We start from the raw sequence: 24,020 nt of genomic DNA on the forward strand, positions 1-24,020 counted from the left end.
GAGGGACCTCTGCAGTGGATGTGTTCCTGGCGGCTGGCCCTAGAGACACTGCACTCTGAGCCAACCGTGAAGTCATTTTGAATTTAAGGAGTCTTGCTAATCCAAGGCAATGTGTCTTAATTTGACAAAGTAAAGGCTGCCCGATAAGCAAGCCTCACTACAAGTTCTGTGAAACAGGGGGTGTTTGTAAGTTTAGATTGTGCTAGAGAAATGTGGTGATGTGGAAGAACGGGCTCATTTTCTCCTGTTTACTCCCTTTCCCACCCCATCCCCCTCCTCTCTCCCTTCTCTCTTACTTACTTTGGCCCAAATCAGCCCTGCAGTCTGGCCTCTGCAGTGGCTTGATGTGAAATTTGAGAAACATATGTAGTTTTCTATTTCAGGAAAATGATCTCAGGGATTGAATGTGTTTTTTTGTTGGCTGTTAAGCTCTGATCTTGCCCAGTGTGGTTTTTTGATGATGGGAAAGAGGCTTCGAAGTGCTTTTTATCAGAATTTCATGTAATAAAACTTAAGGTTTGGTTTCTTTATTTTGGCCCCCAACCCCCTCCCAGGCTCAGGACACAATGTCGTCTATTCTGTCAGAAGTGGGAAGAAGTACACATTGTTCATATTACAATCACTTCTTTGCTGCTTGCACACACATATATAAGAATGGCCACTGTGTCTATCCTTCACAAAAGCTATTTTAAATGTAGTTCAGTGGAGGACCAAAGGTCTGCGTAGTGTCTCTTACAAAGGAAAAGGGATCTGTTGGGGGAAAAGTCTGCCTTTGTTTTGCCTTGGAAGGGCCAGTATTTTTCTTTGTTCTAGAGGTGAGTGCCAATAATGGGCCTAGTGCCCTATCAAGCAAACTTCATTAATCCAGCCCTGCAAAGGGTACACTGATCAGATAAAAGGGACCTACATCCTCAAAGCTCAAGGTATTTGTTTTTAAACTTTTTTCTTACTGTAAATAAATATCACTATTGTACTTAATCTCATATTCATAATTGTATTCCTTTTCTTAAAGAGCCTTTACATAAAAGCTTCAGGCCCTACAAAATCCGAGAGCATCCTTCATGGAGGAAGGATAGTAGACTCGAGGGTGAGTGGTTGAACTTTGGCTCTGGTGTAAAATGCCCACCCTGGGACTTATTGTGTGACCTTGAGCACGTTACATACCATTTCTGCACTTCATTGTCTTATTTATATTTCATGGGCTTGTTGCGGGATTGAACAGGTTCAAGTGTATAAAGCTCATAGTACAACCTGCTAAGGACTCAACATTAGCTATTCCTGCTGCTGTTTTTATTATTTGTTGCTGGCGTATAAGACCTAGGCAAATGGAGCTAAATACTATTGTCTACCATTAAAATATTCACCTTCTGGAGGGAATAGTGCAAGGGTAACTTCAGATTTGCATTGAAAAACCCATGGACTATCACTTTACATATTTATTTCCTTACCATCTTCAACCCTTATCCAGACAGCTCCAAATGCACATTATTCAGAAAATTGGTGATATTTTCACAGCACTGAGACTAAGCTCATCTCCTGCTGGTCCTTATCACTCACCAGCCTTTCAGCCACATCAGACATCTCCTCAATCTCTGGGCAAACCAGGCCTTTTCATGTCTTCTTGACTTTGCACGTACTGTTTCCTCCCCGCAGAGTATCATTTGCCCTTTTTTCTGCTTGTCAACTGCTATTCACCCTTCGAGACCCAACTTAAATATTATTTGTGAATTTTGGGCAGTTACACAGACTCTTTTGGGCAGTTACACACTACTGTTTCATTTTTCCTATAGTTCTTCAAGAACTTCTCTCATTGTAGTGTAATTATTTCTTGACATACATTTTTCTTCTAACAGCCTAGGAGGTCTTTGGATGAAGATACTACAGTCTATTCACTTTTATAACCCCGGTACAGAGTGCATGACACGTGTTAGGTGTTGAGAAATCTGAGAAATCGACTGGGAAGAGTTTTTTTTCATACCATTATATTTTAAAAGCTGCAATAGTTTGTTCCAGAAAAGTTATATTTTTCCCTTGGTGTATATTCTAATTTAAAAGGTGTTTTTAATGCCTGATTGATCTCCAATCTGTAATGACTTTGTAGCATTTTCTTTGTTTCCCTGCATTCAGCCTTCTGATTTAAGCAGATAATGCTTGGAAACACCTGTTTAAGTTGTATCTTCTTTGCTAGTTGTAACTTCATGAGTACAGGGACCATATATGTTCTGTTCACAGCTCTATCCCCAAGTCCTAATACAGTGGTTGGCAGTTCTAGAGGTAGAAGAAATTATAATAATAATAGTGCTTGTATTTTATGCTTAACAGAGCACTTAACATGCTGGCCACTATTGTGAGTATTTTAGATACATTAACCCCTTCAGTCCTCCCAATATTCTTATGTTATATGTATTATAATTATCATCTGTTTTCTACAGATAAAGAAACAGACTCAAAAGAGGCTAAGGAACTTGCCGGTGGTCACACAATGATTGGCAGAGTTGGGATTTTAACCTGGGCAGTCTGGCTCCAGAATTCAGGCTGTTTGCCATAATGGTTCCTTGCCTCTGATTAGTACTAATTAGCTTAGTACTTGTTTGTTAACTAATTATTAAAGGAATCCAACAGAGACCTATTTCTCTAATGTAAAGAGTTCATTCATTAGGCAAATAATCACCCTAAGCCAGTTGTTCTGGAAGTATGGCCTTCAGACCAGCAGCATGAGCAGCGTCACTTGGAAATACATTGGAAATGCAAATTCTGTGGCCTCACTCCCACCCTACTCAATCAGAAACTCTTGGGAGTGGGACCAAATAATTTGTGTTTTAAAAAAATCCTCCAGAAGAATCTGATGGATGCTAAAGTTTGAGAACCACTGGCCAAGACTCAGCCATTTTCTCTGGAATTTTACCCCTGATTTTTGCTTTTCTTAAGAAGTCATAATTTTGGGTGTCTCACTTTTGCATACTCCTGATTTTTGTGACATTAATGTGGGGACTAAGCTCTAACCTCAGTGAATGTTTTTGCTAAAGTTTCTGAGAAATTTTGAAGGTTTCAGGTGTGTCTGTAGCTTGACAGTGTTTGTTTCTTTTGATTTTTTTTTCCTGTGATAGCTTTTAGGATCAGGAAATTTAAAAAATATAGTACCTCCTCCATTCAGCCCTGCTGTCTCAGACTCCCCTAACTGGTGAGTGAAGAAGGAGCCCAGAGGTGCAGGGATAACAGAGAAAGGGGAAGTAGCAGAATCAGTGAGTGGGGAATCAAAGTTTGATGTTATCGCACTTCCTAGAAGTGGCCTCAGGTCCTTTGGACTGTTGGTTTACAAATGGTAGAAAAAAGGGACACTGGACTTCAAACTGGACTTGGAATCCCAGTTCAGTCTCTCTATCTATGTGATTCTAGGAAAGTAATTTTTCTGAGCAACAGTTCCCTCATCTTTAAAATGGGGATAATATTACTAATGTTTTAATGATGTGAGAATTTATGGAGATGCATGATGAGCACTCAATTCATGCTTGTTGTATCTATACTGAAGGAAGCTGTAAGAGATAGAGTTAGTCACTAGCATATTTACCAGTGAGTGTTCTAAGAAATGGATTATAGATTTTGCAGAGCAACAAGGAATCCACAGCATTCCACAATGGCTGGTATTCCAAGGATCGAAATTCTGGGAGGTTCAGTTGCAGAGAAAACTAGGCACCAGTTTGAATGCATTATGTCTTGAGTCTGCTTTTTTTTTTTTTTTAAAAGAAAGGTATCTAAAAGTGATTTAACAATGTCAGGATTTAGACTTAAGTTTTTTTCTGTTAAAGAGGCCATTGCTGAAAGTCAAGACCCAAGGACTGTACAAATATTGATGCAACTGTCAGAGATACATGGTATTTGACCTTCTATTAATAAAGACAAATTATTGCATTTCTGTGATATTTGAGTCTGCAGGAACTTCCCTTAATTCCACTGGTATTCCATTCCACGGCTACCAGGGCTGCTGGGACAAGGGACGTGGCGTTGTGTTTCTGATTTACGAGGTGGAATATTAGTCTGATTTACTAAACTGAAAGAGCAGGTTCAGATAACAAACAACATAGTGAAACTTCCTGAATAACAGCCACAGAAACAACTCATGTATTTGGTGGTATCACAACAAGTTTGGCTAGATTTATCCACAGACTAGAATACAAACCATGGAGGAAAGAAAGCAGGTAAGCACAAGTAAATAGAGGGCAAGGCAGATACTAGTGGACTATACTGGATGTAGGAAGACTTTGAGGAAGGCTTTTTTTTGCAGACATCTGCAGGGTGTAGGCAGTGAAGTGTTTGTTGTGACTATTTGCCAGCACCATCCCACTTCACAGGTGGGTGGGTGGTTCCTTTTCACCAAGATTTTAATGGCAGGTTGTGCCCCATAAAAGGGCGGGGCAGTATACCCTGTATTAGTTTAAAAAAGGTCTCAGCTTACACGGGACAGCATTTTTACTTTTTACCCTTGCCTTTGCTCATTCACAGGGAGTACTTCGGAATCAGCCCATCTAAGCCTCAGACTTCAAAGGGAGCTCATTCCTATTTGACAACAGTCATATCCATTTTGCCAACTCTTTGACCTTTGAAATAGCATCTACTCAGTCAGGTCTGACCTGTCAACTGTCTGTAAAAACCCATCCAGATCAAGAACTTGATATTTTCAAGAACACATCTAAAGGATGGGGGCCCTTCTAATTTTGTTTCTCCAGGACTTGTTTTGGGAGAAGCCAGCTGCTTCTTCTGGTCTTAATGGGATGGGATTATAGATGGGTTGAGTCTGTGAGGCCTCAACTTACATGATGATCCTGTGTCCTTTTATTATAGGTTGCACATGTTTTAGCCACTCATGGCAGCATTTTTCTCCAGCTACAGTCAATTTTGTCTAATTATTGTTGATCATGATTTTACTGTAAAAAAAAATTTTTTTTTTTGAGACATGGTTTCACTCAGTCAGTCTGGATTGTGCAGTGGCACAGTCTCAGTGCACTGCAACCTCTGCTTCCCAGGCTCAATCGATTTTCCTGCCTCAGTCTCCTGAGTAGCTGGGACTACAGGTGCACGCCACCACGCCTGGCTAATTTTTGTATTTTTAGTAGAGATGGTGTTTCACCATATTGGCCAGGCTGGTCTTGAACTCCTAACCTCAAATGATCCACCTGCCTCAGCCTTCCAAAGTTCTGGTATTACAGGCATGAGCCACCATGCCCAGGTTGTAAAAGTATTTTTAAAAAGTGTTTTCAGAGGCCATTTGCCATGGGAAAATGGGATATGTTGACCTTCCTGTTTACCTCCATTTGTGGGCTTTTGGTTGTGAGCATCAGTTCATATCCAGTTTTGGGGACCACTCTTGGGTATACTTTAAATAATTCAGATGTTGAAATTTTTCAGAATGAGAAAATCTAGAGAGAAGTCCAGTTTGATTATACTAGAACCTCATTTGCTGATTAAATTGTAAAATTCCTAATTGCAACTTGGTCATGTCTTTGCAAAATAGTAATAATAATATTAACTTCTATTTATATAGTGACTGTCTTCTCAAAGAACTCAAAACAGTGTCCTTTTCTGTATCCCTGCTATTCCCAAAACATGTTTGTGGCAATGTATGTGGCTTCAAAATGTGGATGTATCATTATGAAATATAAATGCATGTGGTGATGGTATTTATTAGAATCATATGTTATTGGAAGTACCTAACATTGGGTGTAAAGGAAGCCTGGTCAAGTTTCCAATAGAGATTTACAATTGGGCCTCTTTGTATCTCAGTTTCTTCATCTGTATAGTGGGCATAATAGTTCCTATTTTATAGAGTTATTGTGATGATTGTGTTAATACATTTAAAGCATTGACACAGTAATGCTGGGATAGTCCTCAAATGCTATTGTTTGCATCGGTTTTAGAATCAGTCTAATAAATATGAGTTTAAATACCCCTTTGTCCCTTGCTTGTTGTGTCGTCTTGGGCAATAACAGTAACAGTCAACACAGATGCTATTTATTGAATAATACTTATATGTCAGGCATTATATTAGGCCCAGGATATAAGTGATTATTTATCACTTATTCCTTTAACTTTCTTAAATAGGTATGATTATACTCATTTTATAGATGAGTTAGGTAAGGTTTAGAGAAGTTAAGAAACTTTCCCATAGTAACAGAGTTAGATTACTGGCAAAGCGGACTCTCTGAATTCTTGTTTTTGGTTACCTACTTAGGTTCCCCTGAACCACAGTTTCATCATTTGTAATAGGGATGACAATAGCTCTTTGTAAGGATTAAATATTGTACATAAAGTATCTAGCACTTACTGTGCATTCTTGACATGATATACAATGATATTATCCTCTCCAATTAGAGCTTTCCATATAATATAATTTTTTTCTTTGTGTTCCTTATGCCATGCATATATCTTTAGAGATTAAAAGACACTTCTTAAGAATGGATTCTTGCATTTCTGAGAACTTCAGAATCACACTTGTGATCTGACACAGTATATATACACTCAGGTATTGATGTGTGTATGTGTACTTTCCATTCTGTTCAGTCTAGAAGTGTATAGATGCTCAATCTGGGTGCTTTGTAAGGAACATCACAAATGTTCAAAATCGTGGATGGACTTGAACATGAAAATGCCTTGGCCTCAAAGTTTTGCTTTTCTGTTCTCAAAGTTGTTGAGGAAACTGGCTTAGTTAAAGCTAAGTGTTTAGAAACCAAGTGTGTTTTGGATGGTAAGGTGGAGTCAGCATTATATATATTAATACATTTTTGGTACCAGAAACAGCAACAATCCCTTAGTCTGGTGTGTGCAGATGTAATATGTTTCATGATATTTCAGCCTGTATTTTCTGTCTTAATAAGTGAAAGCACTGCAGAATTGGGCTGCAGGCCACTGCCCCATTTCTCTCCTTTTGTAGTCAGATCTCCCTTGTGAATGATAAACACCCACTCCTTTCATTTATTCACCCATTCACTCAACCTCCTACAATCTAAGCTGCATGCTTACCACCTACCTTAAAGAACACCAGTGATTGCTTATTGTGACTTACGTCATAAATATGTATTCTAGACATGACTTCTCACCTGAATATCAGTGTCACATCCTTCATAGCCTCAAAACTTTGAGGAAATATCCTCTTATGGCATACTTTAAAATTTGTAATTTTAAAGTAAGCACAAAGTACGTTTTGAGACCTTCATTTTTTTCTCTAACAATTCTGTTTTGTTTTTTTTTTTTGTATTCTGTATTTTTTGTTAAGTTTATATCAGGATGATTTGTCATTAGTGTTCTTGTAACATATTTTGGAGTTTTCCTTGTGCAATGTGGAAATAGTAAGGTTGACATTCTGCTTTTAACTCTTCTTTATAAACTATGAGGAATTCCCAAATAGAATGTTACCTTGAAAGACTCTTGACATAAGTAGAACTAAACCAAATATTTTATATAATTATTTTTATTTTTTATTTTTGAGATAGGGTCTTGCTCTGTCACCCAGGCTCAAGTGCAGTGGCGTGATCATGGCTCACTGCAGCCTTGACCTCCCAGGCTCGAGCAATCTGCCCTCCTCAGCCTCTCAGAGTGCTTGGGATTAAAGGCATGAGCCACCATGCTTGGCCTCTGTAATTCTTAATTATTATTTTATATATGTTATGAGTATGAGAACTAAGCAGTTCCATAAAGATGAGAATTATAATATCTCATTTTAGTAGTATTTTGCTTTGTATTATTTGACATTTTATAAAAATTCATAGTCTCAAAAAATATACAATGTTCTTCGTCAAGTAGCTAATACTCTCTTTCTTAGTGTTCGGTTTAACTATTAATCTTATCCTGTTAAATTATTTAAAATTTCCTAATAATTGGCACATAATAACAGTTTTTAATGTCAGCATTGATAACATTTTTCTGTCATAATATTCAACTAAGGGATGCATCTTCAATGTATAAAGCCCATAAGTAGGTTTTTTCACCCTAGATTAGATCTAAATTGCTTACCTGTTTTTGGAAGTGAATATTATGTTATTAACAATAAATTCCAAACTGCTTTGTATTACTGACATTGTAACAATGTCTTGATATGATGGAGACCCTTGCTATCACATTGTCATTGATCATGCACATTGATCATGCCCGTGTTGAAATAGGCAATGCCAGAGACAGACCAAAGACGAAACTGGTAGTGATTTTGGTGAACATTGTTGCCATGTTAAACTTGAGTATATTTCTTGTTGAACAACCCCATTTTAGAGATACGGAAAATGTTGTGAGGCAGAGATATTAAGTAACCCTGCCCAGAGTCGAATGGTTAATAAGTCCTTGCCAGGATTTAAGTGATAAAACAAAACTCATGCTTTTAACTACTATAGTCTTGTAAGCCACTCAACAAGTATTGGCCAGTTAAACTAATGAATTCCCTCAAGGAATTGATTCTAGTAATAGAGATAAATAATCAAGTCATAAGTCATGACTCAATGTGAAAAGTCTTGTGACTAAGGAATGAACAGTACAATAAAGGAAACATGAGGAACAGTGAATCGTGGTAGGATTATGGAGAGGAGGAGGAAGGAATGGGGGAGAGTGGGGCCTCAGAGAGGTGCACCAAGACTGGGGCCCAGGCCTTGCTTCCAAGGTACCATGGCGTTCTGTGTTTTTCCTTGTCTTGGGCATACTATTCAGTGTTTCGATTTATTTACTTGTCCTTACCTCCCACTAGGCTATAAGCTTTCTGACTGCAGAGGTAAATTGTGTGTCTTCATCACTTAGTGCAGGAAGTGGTAGCTAATGAGTTGGATATGTAGGGGCGAGTACAGTGGACAGGTGAAGTCAGGACATGATGGACAAAAGCATGAACATGAAAGAAGATGTGAACATTCGTTGCCTCTTTAGGAAATGGTCGACAGTGTGGAGTGGACAGAGCACGGACATGTAGCTTGGGGTATTGTGAAGGGATGGGTCAGCCGTGTATACTTATCTACCATGGTAAAAAGTGATATTATTAGATTTCTGAGTGCTTGCCTTTCCCTAATGCATCTTCATGTCTTTAAGGACAAAGATGTAGGACCAAGAGTGGGCTACATCACAGGAGATGAAAAGATCTGTTTGCATATTTGACCTCTGCTAATTATCAGCAGTGTGATAGTAGGCGTGTCATCTGACATCATCTTGCCTGTTGCATAGTAGACATTTGGTAAAGATTTGTTGAATGGATTAATTAATATAATTATATGTTTTTGCGGACTCTGAAGAATTTGAGATACAGCTATATAAAAGAGTTACTATTTATTGGTACATATTGCTTAGTATTTGGAATAAGCTTGGTAATTATTCACTAAGCAGGAAACAGGGTTTAGGGATTTCCAGGCATTAGGGACACTGAGCCTTGAGACAGGGTAGCAGCTCTGTGGTTCAGAGTGACTGGTCCACCAGGAACAGAAACAAGCTAGTATTGGGAGGTGAGGGAGTAACATTCCTTGGGAGGATTATTTGGCAAAACGAAGTAAGAATCATAGGGGCATAGGGTCATGGAAAAGGCTTCATTCTTAGTAGAGCTCTGGAGTACCCATCAAGTCTGGGTGAAGATGCTTACCTCCCTGAGAGGGCAAGCATCAGGAAAGCCTGGGTATGGGGGTCCCGGGCTCCTGAGGCCCAGGACTCATTGCTAGGATACAGATTGCACTGTCAAGTCCAGACTGTCACGTGTGAGTCTAAGCCTATTGTTTTGGGGCTTGCCATGGTCTGGATGGGGCCCCTCTTAAAGGTTATAGAGTTGTGGAAGAAAGGGACTGACACATTTTGATAGTCAAAGAGTAAAAGAAGCTATGAGTTACCAGTGTGCTGGATGCTTCTGAAAGCGTTTGACAAGTGCTTTTTGAGTTTTTAAATTAAATTACTTTTTTATTTTTGTCTTCCTCTCTATAAATCATACCAGAGAAGGTAACATTTTTCTCTATACTGACTTTGACAAGCCTAGACTATGCTTTGTCTATGTCCAGTGTACAAATGTAGAGAACCCATTCATTTCTTTACTCCTCACATATTTAGTAAAGTCCGGCTGTGTGCCCTGCCTTTAGGGGACACTGAGCAGAAAGCAGACTCCTCCAGACGATTGCATTGCAGTATAATTAGCACCATAACAAGAGTCTGGCAGATTCTAGTCTGTAGTAGCAAAATGAAGAGCAATCAGGTCTATCCAGGGAATGAGGAAATACCTCACAAGATAGGAAGTGACTGAACTCGGACTTGAAGGATGATCAAGAATCTGCCAGGTGGGTATGGGGGCCACCTGGCAAAAGGACAGCATATGGGAAAGCAGAGGCATGAAAGACCTTGGTGCATCCACAAAGCGTTGGGCACGTGAGTCTAGCCAGATCACAGGTTGTGTGTTGGGGAGCATTTAGAGAAGAGAACACAAAGTCCTCACGTGCTTTACTCAGGCTTTGGGCTTAAGGAGTGTTTCTGATGTGGGCTCTGGAGCCAGACTGCATGGCTGTAAGCCCCGGCCTCTCTGCTTCACACCTCTGTGATCTTGGACAAGTACCTTAACTTTCTGTTTCTCAGTTTCCTCATCTCAGATGATAATAGGACATGCCTCACAGGGTGGTTGTGAGAACCTGAATAACATCGTAAAGCACTTCAAACAGTGTCTGGCACATCAGTTGTTATTAATAATAATTATATAAGATAAAATTATATAATTCATAATGATGATGTTTAATTTGTAACCTGTAGTCAAAAAGTAGAACCAAATACAACTTGCAAGGGAACTGGATGCTTCTGGAAGAGTTTGATAAGTGTTGTTTGAGTTTATAAAGTAAATTACCTTTTTTACTTTCCAGGTAAAAAAATATACCTTTGGGAGGGGAACAACACACACTGGAGCCTGTCGGGGGGCGGGGCCACAGGAGGGAGAGCATCAGGATAAATAGCTAATGCATGTGGTGCTTAATACCTCAGTGATGGGTTGATGGATGCAGCAATCCACCACGCACACATTTCCCTGTGTAACAAACCTGCACGGCATGCACATGTATCCCGGAACTTAAGAAAAAAAAATACATTTTTTCTTTCCAGGACAGCGTCAGTCCTTAAGAGGCTAGCTCAAAGACTAGAGGAAAAATAGACTACTAAATAAATCAAAATTATTTAGTAGGGTATAGAGTTATCCATAAAGTGCTGGGGGTCACTAATTATTAAAGCAGATAGAGCACAGGTAGTTGTTGAGCGTAGAACAGCCCAATCAGAATGATGCCTCAGAAAGGCAGTAGTTGGCCTCCCAGAGTGGAGCATGGATTGCAGCAGGGGGCTGAGGCTGGAGGGGGAGAAGTGTTGAACTAATTCAAGGGATGTTGGAGGGCTAAACCAGTGTCTCTTCTGCTAAATCTGAGCAGAAGAGACAGATCTGGAAGCTTCTGGTAAGGTAGGCTTGATTGAGTTTGGTGAGAAGTTAGATGAGGAGGGTGAGAACCTAGCATCTGGGTGTCTGCTAGATAGATGCTGCTGCACCACACCAATGTCCGTGTGTCTGGGTACCGAGGTGGTGTTCAGGACAGGTCTTCTCCACGTACTGCCGCTGAGCTCACATCCACGCTGTGCATGCTGGGCTGAGTTCTCTTCAGGCTGTTTTCAGCTGACTTAAATGCAACACGTGATGATGAGCATATTTACATAATGTATGCCTGGTGAAATCACGAAAGATTGGAATTTCCCATTTTAATTCCATTTTAAAGATGCTTGTTAAGCAAAAGGATATAATTCATTTTTCAAACTGCTGAAATGTTATTTGGCCTCTTGAATCAAAGGCATTCCGCAAGTGTTTTCTTTATTACATGCCTTAAACTTTAATTAGAATTTAATTATAAGATCCTGAAGGCATGAGCAAGAGGAGCAGATGGGATAGTAAAAGCAGCTTAGTGAGGGAGGATTAAAGATTAAAAGTTGCTTGTTAATGGCATAAGAAATGAACAGAGAGCTAAATTACTATGCTTTTGTGCTATCCTGATGCTTTTTCGATTCTGTAACTTATTCCTGGTTGCAGGTTTTTCAATTCTGCAACTTATTCCTGGTTGGAAGTTGAAGAATCTCACAAATTAGATTTTTAATTTTTTGAGTTGCTAGAGTAGATTTGTACATAGAAAACAGGTAAAACCTGACAAAAAGGTGTTTTATGGCTAGTAGCACCTTGTACAATAATTTCTGCATTGTAGGGGCTTAGTGGTATTTACTGAATTGAACTAAAACTTACATCATCTCACTAGTAAACATCGAATGAGCATAAAATAAGATTTTTTTTTAGAGATGGATGGGGAAGGTGTGAGTCTATAAGTCCAGGCTAACCTGTCCCATGGAATGTTAGATACCTACTCAGGAAGGTAACTTGTATGAACCTCCCACCTTTAGCCTACCCCCCAGTCGACCTTAGTCATTTGCCCCACTTGGTTGGTTGGCTAGAGGAGTGGTAGAAATTTGGTGTGGGAAACACTTTGAGACTGCTCCTCATGTCACACAGTGAGGATGACCTGCTCTGCTCTCTGGTGCTATGTTACGATGATCTCCCGTTAGGCTAAATTATTCTACTTCTTAGTGCTTTTTCCCCTAGCTTTTTTTTTTTTCTTTTTGAAATCTGATATTTAGAGTCCTCTTCCCCACTTAATTGCAAGCTCAATGAAGAAAAACTAGAGAACAATAAGATAGAAAAGAAGACAAAAATGTAGTGAAACAAAAAGCATTCTATCTCCTATTTTCCAGGAACAAATGTTTTTTAAAAAGCTTTTTTAAGCCTGTTAATAGACAGTTGATTCTTCATTATTTGCAGATTCTTTGTTTGCAAATTTGCCTACTTACTAAATCTTATTTGTAACCCTCAAATCAATACTTGTGGCACTTTCACAGTCATTCGCAGAAATGCTCAGAGAGGAGGATAATTTCTGAGTCTCTCGTCATGCGTGTTCCTAGCCGATGGCAAATAACACAACACCCTGCCTTCTTGTTTCAGCTCTCATAGTGTAAACAAGTGTCCTTTTCGAAGTCTACTCGTGCCATGTTTTTCTCATTTTTGTGCTTTTTGTTGGCGATTTCACCATTTAAAATGCACCCCAAGCATTGTGCAAAAGTACTGTGTAGTGTTCAAGTACAGTGCAAGAAAGCTGCGATGTGCCTTACAGAGACAATAACGTGTGTTTGATAAGCTTCATTCAGGCAGGAGTTAAGTGCTGTTGGCTGTAAGTTCAGTGTTATTGACTCAACAATATATATTAAATGAGTTGTTTTTAAGCAAGAATACACATGAAACAGGGTTGCGTATTGATGAGTTGGCAAAAATATAACTGGAGGCTCAGAGGAACCTAGCCCTGTATTTCCCTTAGGAACAATGGTCCAGTGTTCCCTAATTTAATGTTTTTGGAGACTACCAAAAATAATAAGGTCAGCCATGTATCTTTCTCCTTTTCTCCTTGCTCTTGCTTGATCTTTCCATCTCTTGTTACCTCAATCTGTGTGTATATGATATGCATATATTTACTTAAATTATATATGCATATATTTAGCAATTATGATATCACATGATACACGATTCTGCAACCTGTCTTTTAACTTATCAATTGTGTTGGCCTTTGGGCTGTTTGCACTGAGATCCATTTGTCACCCTTGCCCTGCTCTGCAAGGGTGCTGTGTTACAGGGGGTTGACCCCTGCCCCCTGACAATTTGTCATCAGTGGGAGATGGCAAGGCAAGAGAAAGAGAAGCTGGAGTATTTGTCCCTCCCTCTGTCTGCCTTGGGCAGCATCTCTGGCAGTGGCCCCTCTACAGCTATCCCACCTGCAGGTTGGGTCCTCCATGGCTCTGTCATCGGCTGGTTGGTCCTGGGTCTCGAGCTTTAGCCCTGCCTTCTTCCTTTGTCCTTTTAGCTGATGGGTGGAAGAAGCTTCCTGCTGATGCTGATCTCTGAGTTTCTTCCCTGTCCCCTGGGTAGAGCATCAGATTTAAAAGCCAAGGCAAGACAAAAAATGAGAGAATGGTAGCAAAGATCCAACACTTTACAAGACCGCCTGAGAAAAGGGAGGAGGGGGTGGTTCGACACCAGGGCCTGCACACTGAGTGTGTGATGTTGCAGCTCTGCAGGCACAGATTAAGCAGCTAAGATGCCATCAATGCTTGGAAAGCAGCCGGTGCCTCTTGTCCTGAGCTTATTTGTCTGGAATATGATTCCCTTGAACCTGACTAGCTCATCCACGGGGAGAGAGAAAAAAAAATATTCTGATAGTTATCCTGACCAGGCTCTAACAGGGCCTCCTTCCCTAGGATATAATTTTTTCTGGCCTCTTTCCATTCACTTCTTCACATTAGGACCCTTTTCCCCCAGAGTGTGAGATTCCCTGAGGGCTCTAAAAACTGGAATGCTATACAGCATTTTAAGCCCCCTGTGTTGGCACAGTCCTTATTAAAAATGTATTTTCCTCAAGCCATGGCTGCACCCCCTGAAGTGTGGATTAACAGAAAGGCCTTCAGAGCTGGAAGACATTTTTGAAGAACCGCTGTACCAAGTGGCATTAAATATTTATTGCCTACTACATGTAAATTGTTCATCATCTTGTTTTAACTCTTGGACCAAAAGGTTTCTCATCTGCTTTCTGCTAAAGTGGAAATCACAGGAAAGGTACTCTTTACTTTGCTGTGGTATTTTGTTTTCCCAGGAATACGGAATATTTCTTTGTTCTCATAAGTAATACTAGAAAAGATTGCCTTGACTCTCAGCATTTCATTGGGAGGCCATGTGGTGTCATGATGGAGAAAAACTCGAATTCTGGGGCAAGTGCATTGGGCTTTGCCACCTGCAAGCTGTGTTGGCTTGAGAACCTGATACCATTTATGTTTGTTGTGCTGGAAAAATGGGACATTGCATAAATAGCAGATAGCACAATTCCTGGCACCCAGTAAGTTCTCTCTTTCTCCTAGGTCTTCTATTTGGGACTTTGCAAATACATTTCTAAGCAACCTAGAATAAAATATGCTATTAATATGCTGTTAATAATAACCAAAAGCACTCAGCTTAATCTTTACTTATTAAATAAAACTGAAATGTTGCTCAGACACCTTTTGCTGTTTTTGGAATGCCTTTGTAGACACTTTTGATCTTGCTTAAAAAACATAACAGCATTTCAAAGGCTTATCTTAGCTATTCTTATTCATACCTGAAAACCTACAGAGTTTGGATAATTTTGGCACACATATGTGTGCACGCATGTATATGTATAAATATTCTGTCTCTCTAAATATATATGTATATGCAGGCACATGTATAACTCTTTAAGAAATGTTTTTCTAATGTTTAATTTTCTTAAAGTCTGTACTTCACATCATTTTTTTCCCCAGAACTGTTTATCCTCACTCCAGACATGACCCTTGGAAAGGTGGCAGAAAAAACAAACGGCTGGTGTGTTTTGGGGCAGTCTGCATTCCTTTTAACTCTCTGAGACCAGGCTTATGCATGGGCTTTCAAGCTATTTGTCCAGAGGCCCAACCACTTTGATTTCTGCTTGAAAATTAGCCTGTTGTTCAAGCTCAGGAGAGCTTCCACAGAGCTTTCTTGGGTTCGCGAACTAGAGATCTATGAAGTGTTTGCTTTTATTTGTAACTTTAACCACGGCAGCCTTAACTGGACTTTTGTTTTCTTATTTAACTTTTATCCATGTAACCTTAACCTAAGTTCTTTTTCAAATCTCCATCCTCCCCCATCTCACAATTTCTAATCCCTCTTTTGTCCTTAGATTTTTCCTTCAAAGTCAGGATATGACATTTATATCTATGCTTTAGGAAGTATCTGAAAGCTAACATACACATAGAATTATGATTTTTTTCTTGGGTTGCTTAGGAGGATTAAACAAAGGTTTTAGAAGGCAGAATTCAGAAAAAAATTGATAGAAGTTGTGCTGCAGCTTGGAGGGGAGTGTGGATTTTAGAAAGCATAAGGACACTTTCATTTGTCCCTTTCATATGGACTTTTATTTCCTCTGCGAGAGGCCCAGGGGCCTGGCCTGTGGATGGTTTAGACAGGAAAAGACTGAAGGGATAACTGCTTCCAGACCTTCAGCCTTGAATGTTCAGCCATTATTCAAGCCGTTGAGAAAGGGAGCAAGAGGCATAAGGAGGCTTCGGGAGTTTCCATGCAGCTTCTCTGAGTTCCAGCTTGTGTGCATTGTTCTCCAAATGTGTCCCCAGCACTACTGAAAGGACTTTCATACCTCAACTAACCCTTATTGCAAGCCTGTGAAGGAAGAGTTTTTTATATATATATATATATATATATATAAACAGACAAGGCAACTAAAGCTCTGGGAGGTTACAGAAACTTAAGGCCTAAGTAGGGTTACATTGAGACCAGATTAATCAGTTAGTAGATTGTCTTTCTATTTCATCATGTGCTTCATTTCCTCCTTGGTTTACATGACCCTTCTTTGGAAATTTCCTTCTGGTAATATCTTAGTTAAATGAAATAACTAAGTTTTATGGAGTATCCATTATGTGTTAGGCATTGTTTTATGCAATATGCATCTATGTAGTGCACATTCTGATAGGAACCATGTGAAGAAGGTGTATTACCTCCATTTTAGACAGGAAATCCCTGCAATACAGAGGGTTAGGTAATTTGCTCAAGATCACACAGGACACAGTAGGTGACACCAGGATTTGAGCCCAGGTCTGATTCCAGAACTTATGCCATGCCCACTACACCAGCCGTCCTTATTAAGAGGAAGGCCATTGGTATGAGGCCACTTGAAATAGACATGGTAGATATGTGGCAATCAATGCAAAGGTATTGTCTTTCATGCTCTGTTGCAATCTCATTTCATTTCTAGCATTATAGGTATTTAAAGCAGAGGTAGGCTTGCTTTCTTAGTTTCAGTTTTCTGAGAAACAAAGATAGTAACAACAATGATGATGGATCTTGTTACCATATGTGAATATCTGTGTGTACTAGGCACGGTACTTGGTCTTTACACATGTTCTTCTAGGTTAACCTTATGACAACTCTGTGAAGTTTTCTCAAATTTATATCTGAGAAAGCACTCAGAAAGGTTGAGTCACTTGCTTGCCCACATCACACTACTAGTAAGTGGAGGAGTGAGGATTTGAACCTAAGACCTCTTACAATAAAATTATGTTCTTTCCACTCAGTATATGGGACATGTATCCCTGGGGGCACATGTGAGAACTATAATTGGTCTGTAAGATTATTGATGATGGTATAGGGATAGGGTGTTAAAGAACATTGATGCCCATAGTGAAAAAGTAATTCCCTTTCACTTGTCCTACCAACCATCTGGTTACATGAAAGAGGAAGTCTCAGTTAGGTGCCAGTATGCCTTTTACAATTCTAACAGAGAACAGGGCTCAGACTCTGAGGCTCGGGCAGGTAATTGAATCTAGAAGACCATGGTGACGTTCTTTTTGTTTTTATTGTATTTTAATATCTTCTCATTAAAAAATATTATAATGTGTTCATATATACAAAATAAATGTAATGTATATATAAGGTTAAAAGAATAATATAATGAGTATCCATGTACCTATCACCTATTGAAGCATTAGATTAATTTTAGTTACTATGGGAACCTTCTGTGTCACTCTTCCCATCCCAACTTCTTTCTTTCTCTCCTACCAACATCTTACATAATCACTGTATAACTATCAAAATCAGCCAGTTAACATTCACATAATACTATTACTCAGTCTACAGACTTTTTGCTAGTTTTGCCAGTTGTCATACTGTTTCATTTCCTGGACCAGAATCTAGGATCACACAATACATTTACTAGTCATATCTCCTTTGTCTTTGGAATAGTTCCTCACTCTTTTTGTCTTTCATGACCATGACGTTTTTGGAGTCTGGTTAGGCATTTTGTAGAATGTCCCTCACTTTGGGTTGGTCTGATGTTTCCACAATATTAAATTCAAATTATGTGTTTTTGGCAGGGAAGCTACAGAAATGATGTTGTGCCTTTCACAGTGCATCACAGCAGGAGGCACATGATGCCGATTTATCGTATCACAGGTGATGTGAACTTTGGCCAATTTGTTAAGGTTGTGTCTTCCAGTTTATCCACTGTAAAGTTACTATTTTTCCATTTGTAATTAATGATTACCTTGTAGGGAGATACTTTGAGATTATGTATAATATCATGCTTCTTATACCTTTGTCCACTAATTTTAGCAACTATTGTAAATTCTTGCCTGAAACAATTATTCCTGTGGTTTTTCCATATGGTGTTTTTCTATGATTATAATTCTTTCTATATTTATTAACTGGAATGCTTTGTAGGTGGCTTTATCCTCGCCACACACTTATTTATTCATTCAGTTGTTTATTTGTATCAGTATGTACTTACAAATTCTTATTTTATTGTCTGGATTATAATCCATTAGTATCATTATTTTGTTTTGCAAATAGTCCTTTTAACCAATGGGGATCCCTTCAAATTAGCTTTTCTATCTTTCTGACATGTCTCCATCTTTTTTAAGGCATTTTTGCTTTCTGGTGCCAGAAGATACCACTTTGTGCTTTACTTGCTCCAACCCTGAGAGAAGCCTCCTCTTGCTGTTCTGCATCCATTCCTCTCAGTCACTCCTTCATGCACTATAATATGATTTCCACTCTCCCCAGTGCACTGACACTTCCGTCACTTAGGTCATTGCTAAAGCAGTAGATATTTTAATTCTTCTATTACTGCATATCAGACATCTCTTGGCCCCATATCAGATCTTCTCAGGAGGACAGTAAAGGGAAATTGTACCATCTCTTGTTCCAGCTGCCGTGACCAAGTTTGCATAGACTCTGAAAAACTTCCTACAGTATAAGCTGACAGTACCTCACCTCATGCTGCATGCTTTTCCATAGGGCACCCCACGAGGTTCCATGGGGTTTCCTTGTGGTTGCTACCTCTGGATCTCACTCTGTTCCCACACATGTACAACCTGGATAGAGAATTAATGCCTCCTTTCTCTCTATCGTGGATGGTTCTGAGATACAGTTCATGTGGCTTGGGGTGTGGAGAGGTTGAGGATGATCCTATGGGATAGAGAACGAGTCACTTCTAGTGGGGCCATCTTGATACCACAACTTCATCTTGCCTCCCCCTCCTTATTATTTGTTTTATTCCCTTTGTCTATCAGTCCTCTCCTTCTCCCTAAGATTGCACTACCTGATGCAGTAGAACCCTCTTCCTTGGGTCTGCTGTCTCGGGGACCCAGGAAAAGATGTGCAGTGTTTAAACTCCTTCTCTATAATCTCTTAACTTTCACACTATCACATTTTCATTCATTTATTCCAATTCATTCATTCATTTACACCTTATTTATTGAGACTTTCCCTGTGTGAGACATTGTGTACAGGTAGACAAAAATCTTGATCTTATAGAAGTTATTGTATTTGGGGGAGCAGAAATAACTAAATAAAACCAATTCAGCTGAATTATAAGTGCTTTTAAGAAAATGCAACAGGGAGAGGGCAGAGAGTGGGCCACGTGGGGCCTGGCATTGGGATGGTTACCACATACACTCTGAGGAAATGACATTTGAACTGATAAGGGGTCAGCAAGAAGAAATGGGCTGAGAGAAGACTGATCTATTCACAGGAAAGAGGAAGTGCAAGAGCCCTCATTTTCTGTTTTGCACTAGAACTGCTTTCCTATGATTCTTCAGATTGTGCCACCTTTCTTCCAACTCCCATGCATTTGCACAGATTGTTTCTTTGACCTGGAATGCCCTCTCTGACTTACCAAGCTGGCAGATTTCTATCCTTAGCTCAGATCTCATCTAAAGCAGCTCTCCACCCCCAGGGACATTTTAAGTCCTTTTTCTGTTGTTGGTGTGCTGTGCTTTGAGCACAGTATTCATTTATAATAGTGATGTCAGTGTACGCCTTAGAATTGTTCACCTGCATCTCTCCTTCTTGGACTAGGAGCACTCTGAGGGCAGGACTATGTTTGTTTACTTTGTATTCCCAACAAAGTGCTTATAGGGATTTAAATCTATTTATTGATGAGTTGGATGGATGAATGGATGAGTACATGGGAGAAAGAGGAAAAATGATATATGAATTGAAATAAATAAATGAAAGAGCCAGTGAATAAATGACAGTGACCTGACCTTAAGGCGTTGTCTTGTTTGTGGGTGAGACAGGAGTATAACCATTCAGAGTACTGTGATGAATGCTTAGAGATTCTCAGTGCATGAATAACAGTGGCAGTCAGCAAGTTCTGCTCATAGATGCATATTGTTTCAGCTATTTCATGCTTATTTATTTAGTTTTTAAGAAATTCATTTAGGTACCAAACATAAAAAAAAACCCAGACTTGCAGCTTTCCAGATTTGGGGCCAGACACATGACTGTAATCCCAGCACTTTGAGGGGCCGAGGTGTGCGGATTGCTTGAGGCTAGGAGTTTGAGAGCAGCCTGGGCAACATGGCAAAACCCCGTCTCTACAAAAAATACAATAATTAGCTGGGCGTGGTGGCACATGCCTGTAGTCCCATCTCCTTGGGAGGCTGAGGCATGAGAATTGCTTGAACCTGGGATGTGGAAGTTGTAGCAAGCCGAGATTGCACCACTGTGCTCCAGCCTGGGCAATAGAGTGAGATTTCATCTCAAAAAAACCCAAAAAACAGATTTGGCAGTGCTGGACCCTTCTACATGGAGCTGGGGACAAAAATCTGCTGGAAAGTAGGAAATTATTAGAATAACTAACTGTATTAAAATATGTTGAATTCTTCTTGTCATGACTGTTTTGACATTTGTTTGTACTAGTTAAGGGAAAATGAAACTTCAGGTTGACAGCCTTTACCTTCCTTGTGCCATAATTAATTTGCTCTATTCTGTTTGTTCAGGAAATTCAGCTTTTGAAGGCCCAGAAAGAGGACTAAGGGTGCAGGTGGCAAGGAAAGGTTGATTTGTGGTGACCTGGCATACTGTATTCCATCTTTAAGTCCTCACCACAAGTAGGCCTTTATCCAGGTTCTTGTTACCTGGAAATGTGTGTTCATTTGGGGTATCTAGATGAGGCAGGACTTCAAGGAAGGGGATGGATAATGCACTTAATCTTCATCTTCACATAAGGATAGCTGCTCTTTATCTTCTCCCTCTGGAAGCTGCCATTGTGAGGCAGCATTAAGGTGGGAGAGGACCCTCTGGAGTTCATCCAGAACCCTCTGGGGGCACCTGTGTCCCTTCTGTTTGTCAGTGTATCAGCCATGGATCCTGCGTGAAACAGGTGGCACATTTAAATGGGGTAATCCGAGAAGAGTGGACAAGTGTAGGGAAACCACATGGATAGTGCAAGATGCTTGGCTATCTAAAGTGGGGCTGGTACTCTCTCTGGGCCTAAGGAACAAGGAGAGGGGCTACGAGCAGGCCCTGGGGAGATTGTTTTGTGGAGGTACTTACCTTTGTGACCTTTGGTGGAGAGCTGCAGCCATCCTACACTTTCTCCTAGTCCACTGATATCCCTCTGTGTCCTCCATTAGCTGAACCTGGCTGGAGGCCAGAGGCAGAAGAGCCCTCTGGTGTGCTCCACACCCATCAGCATCCTGGCTTACAAGGCAGGGTGGAGAAAGTTAGAGATTGAATTTGAAGAGCACATGGAAGATGTCTGGGACATCTGGGCATTCTTTCTGTGTGGTTGGTTCTTGTGGTCAGATATTTGTGGAGGAGTGAGGTGGTGGTGGTAGTGGCTGTGCTTTAGAGTCAGTGAGTCTGGGACAGGATCACATCTGCCCCACTCGCTAACGGAGTTACCCTCAGCTCAAGGTCAGCAGGCACCGATTTCTTTGCCGTCTGGTGGGGCCAAGGGCAAATGCCTATCTCAAAAAGCTTTGGGAAGATCAAAAATGAAAATACTTAAGTGTTTTTTTGCAGATTTGGAAAAGGCTGAAAGAAGTTTTATTAAAATGTGAGCAATATACCTCAATAAAGTTGTTTTCCTATATAAGACAAATAAAACTGTGTTGTGATTTCACAACAAGTGTTGATTTTTTTCTTCATTATATTTTTCTGTATTCCAGATTTTCTGTCATCAGAAAACCAGACATCCATAAGTGCTATTTAGAAATATGTTAGTACTGCCTTCAAATTATTACTGTTGGCTAATATTGCCTTCTCTGGGTTACTGAGGTATGTGAATTCACAGCTGCAGCATAGCTGACTTGACTATGGACAGACTAGAGTGAACGTGTATGTCATTTCTTACGATGTGCCCATGGATTCAGGTCTAGTGCCCCATCCCCAGGAAGCCTTTGGCCCTTCAGATGCTTCTCCTCTGAGCTCCTGCAGCTCCTGGGCTGCCCCTAGCAGTTATCACACTGTTTTGCGGTTTTCTCCACCACTAGACTGTGGTCTCCTCTAGGTCCAGGACTGAATTTTATTCATCTCCAGGTCAGTGTCTAGCATTGTCTTGTAAATGCTGTCTTTATTCATGTTGCCCAGCTTCTACCACACGGCTACTGGAAGTTCTCAAGCTCATAACACCGTAGCTTCTACAACAGAGAGCAACTGACTGTGCTTTCTCCTTTCTGTTTTCAAAGCCCTGGGAAAGAATTCTGATTAGTTTCATTTGGGTCAAGTGTACCTACATCCCTTATTGAACCAACTATACCCATGGAGAGGTATATTACAGTGATCTCAGCTTTGGTCAAGTGCTCATTCCCAGAGGAATCTGTTGTGTGGCCAATAGGGTAGGATCTGTACAACTATGACAGGTCTTATTTAAATCAATTAGTTACAGTGGAGAAGAGAATGAATCAGTTAGGAATGCTTTCAGCTGCAGTGACAATGCAAAAAAGCTTTTATTTAAATCAGTTAGTTGCAGTGGGGAAGAAGCATGTATCAGGAATGCATTTGCAAGGGAGCAAAAATTGGTTCTTGGGGGATGAAAAAGATCTTAGATATTACAATCATTTGTGGCCTTCTAAAGCCCATCCTTATGTAACAGCATAAGTAGATACACAATCTGTCTGTGGTATTGAAATTTCACAGTGGCAGGGAAAAGGAAAAGACTGTCTGGAAAGGGTCTTTAGTGGGGGCGATAGTGAAAAAAAAGTTTGAGAGTGATTTATGATGACAATAATCATACCTAACTTATTTAGTAGTTATGCACCAGGAACTGTTATGAATGCCTTACATATACTATATTAAATCATTTCACCATATATCCATTTGACAGTGACCAAAACACAAATAGTCTTGATTTCCCACTCTCACACCCCTAAATTACAAGTACAAAGATGATTTGACCATGTCACCTTCAGCATATCTTTAATTCTTTGGACTTTTCCCTCATGCTAGCTGCCTCATGGTTGTAGGATAGTTGCTGCATCTCTGGACGTTACATTCTCCTTTGATGCTGGAAGAATTGGTGAGAAGAGCATGATGAGATTTTTTGTTTTGTTTTTTAAATGAGAGGAGCAAAACCTTTCCCAGGAATCTTCTCTTCCTACTATACTTCTGCTTAGGTCTTATTGGCTGGAATTAAGTCCCATGGCCACTCTTAGCAGCAAGAAGCAGGGAAAGTGGAAAACAAGATTATCATGGTTGGCTTAAACCTGCACATTCCAATATGATAGTTACTAGCTATATGGCTATTTAAATTTTTTTAGAGAGATATAATTCATATACCCTAAAATTCACCATTTTATGTATACAGTATAGTATTTCTAGTATATTCACAGGATTATGCAACCATACCCCAGTATCCGATTCCAAAACATTTTCTTCGCCCTCAAAAGAAATCTCATATCCGTAGCAGTAAGTCCTCATATCCCTCTACACCTAGCCATTGGCAACCACTAGCCTACTTTCTTTCTCTATGGATTTTCCTGGACATTTTGTTTGGCTTCTTTCACTTGGCATAATTTTTTCAGGGTTCATCTATGTTGTAGTATGTGCCAGTAATTTTTTTATCAGTTCCTGTTTTAATTGATAATACTCTGTTGCATGGATGTATCCTATTTTGTTTATCCATTCATCT

General features: G+C 39.9%; 1 protein-coding gene across 56 annotated transcripts in view, besides 2 other annotated features; it reads left to right on the forward strand.

Annotated features, from left to right (window-relative positions):
* The window catches only part of FGGY (FGGY carbohydrate kinase domain containing), a 466,353-nt gene that overhangs the window by 96,935 nt on the left and 345,398 nt on the right, over window positions 1-24,020 (forward strand). Inside the window, exon 1 of one of the 56 annotated variants that reach the window (XM_017001677.2) lies at window positions 1-24,020. This exon is cut by the window's right edge and continues 10,100 nt beyond it. The exons of the other annotated variants lie outside the window; for them this stretch is intronic. The gene's annotated coding sequence lies outside the window, so the exon portion shown is untranslated. 56 annotated transcript variants of the gene reach the window in all.
* Window positions 21,025-21,194: an enhancer, noted in NCBI's record as "experimental_8792 CRE fragment used in MPRA reporter constructs". NCBI's record gives its function as "activates a minimal promoter by MPRAs in K562 erythroleukemia cells, with activity observed for both the introgressed and non-introgressed 1:59880094 or rs11582325 variant alleles {active_cell/tissue: K562}" and the evidence as "EXISTENCE:reporter gene assay evidence [ECO:0000049][PMID:34662402]".
* Window position 21,110: a transcriptional cis regulatory region, noted in NCBI's record as "Neanderthal adaptively introgressed variant 1:59880094 (GRCh37/hg19 assembly coordinates) or rs11582325 in the experimental_8792 CRE". NCBI's record gives its function as "modulates activity of the experimental_8792 enhancer by MPRAs in K562 erythroleukemia cells {active_cell/tissue: K562}" and the evidence as "EXISTENCE:reporter gene assay evidence [ECO:0000049][PMID:34662402]".

Source organism: Homo sapiens, chromosome 1 (genome assembly GCF_000001405.40).
Source record: "Homo sapiens chromosome 1, GRCh38.p14 Primary Assembly".
Taxonomy (NCBI): domain Eukaryota; kingdom Metazoa; phylum Chordata; class Mammalia; order Primates; family Hominidae; genus Homo; species Homo sapiens.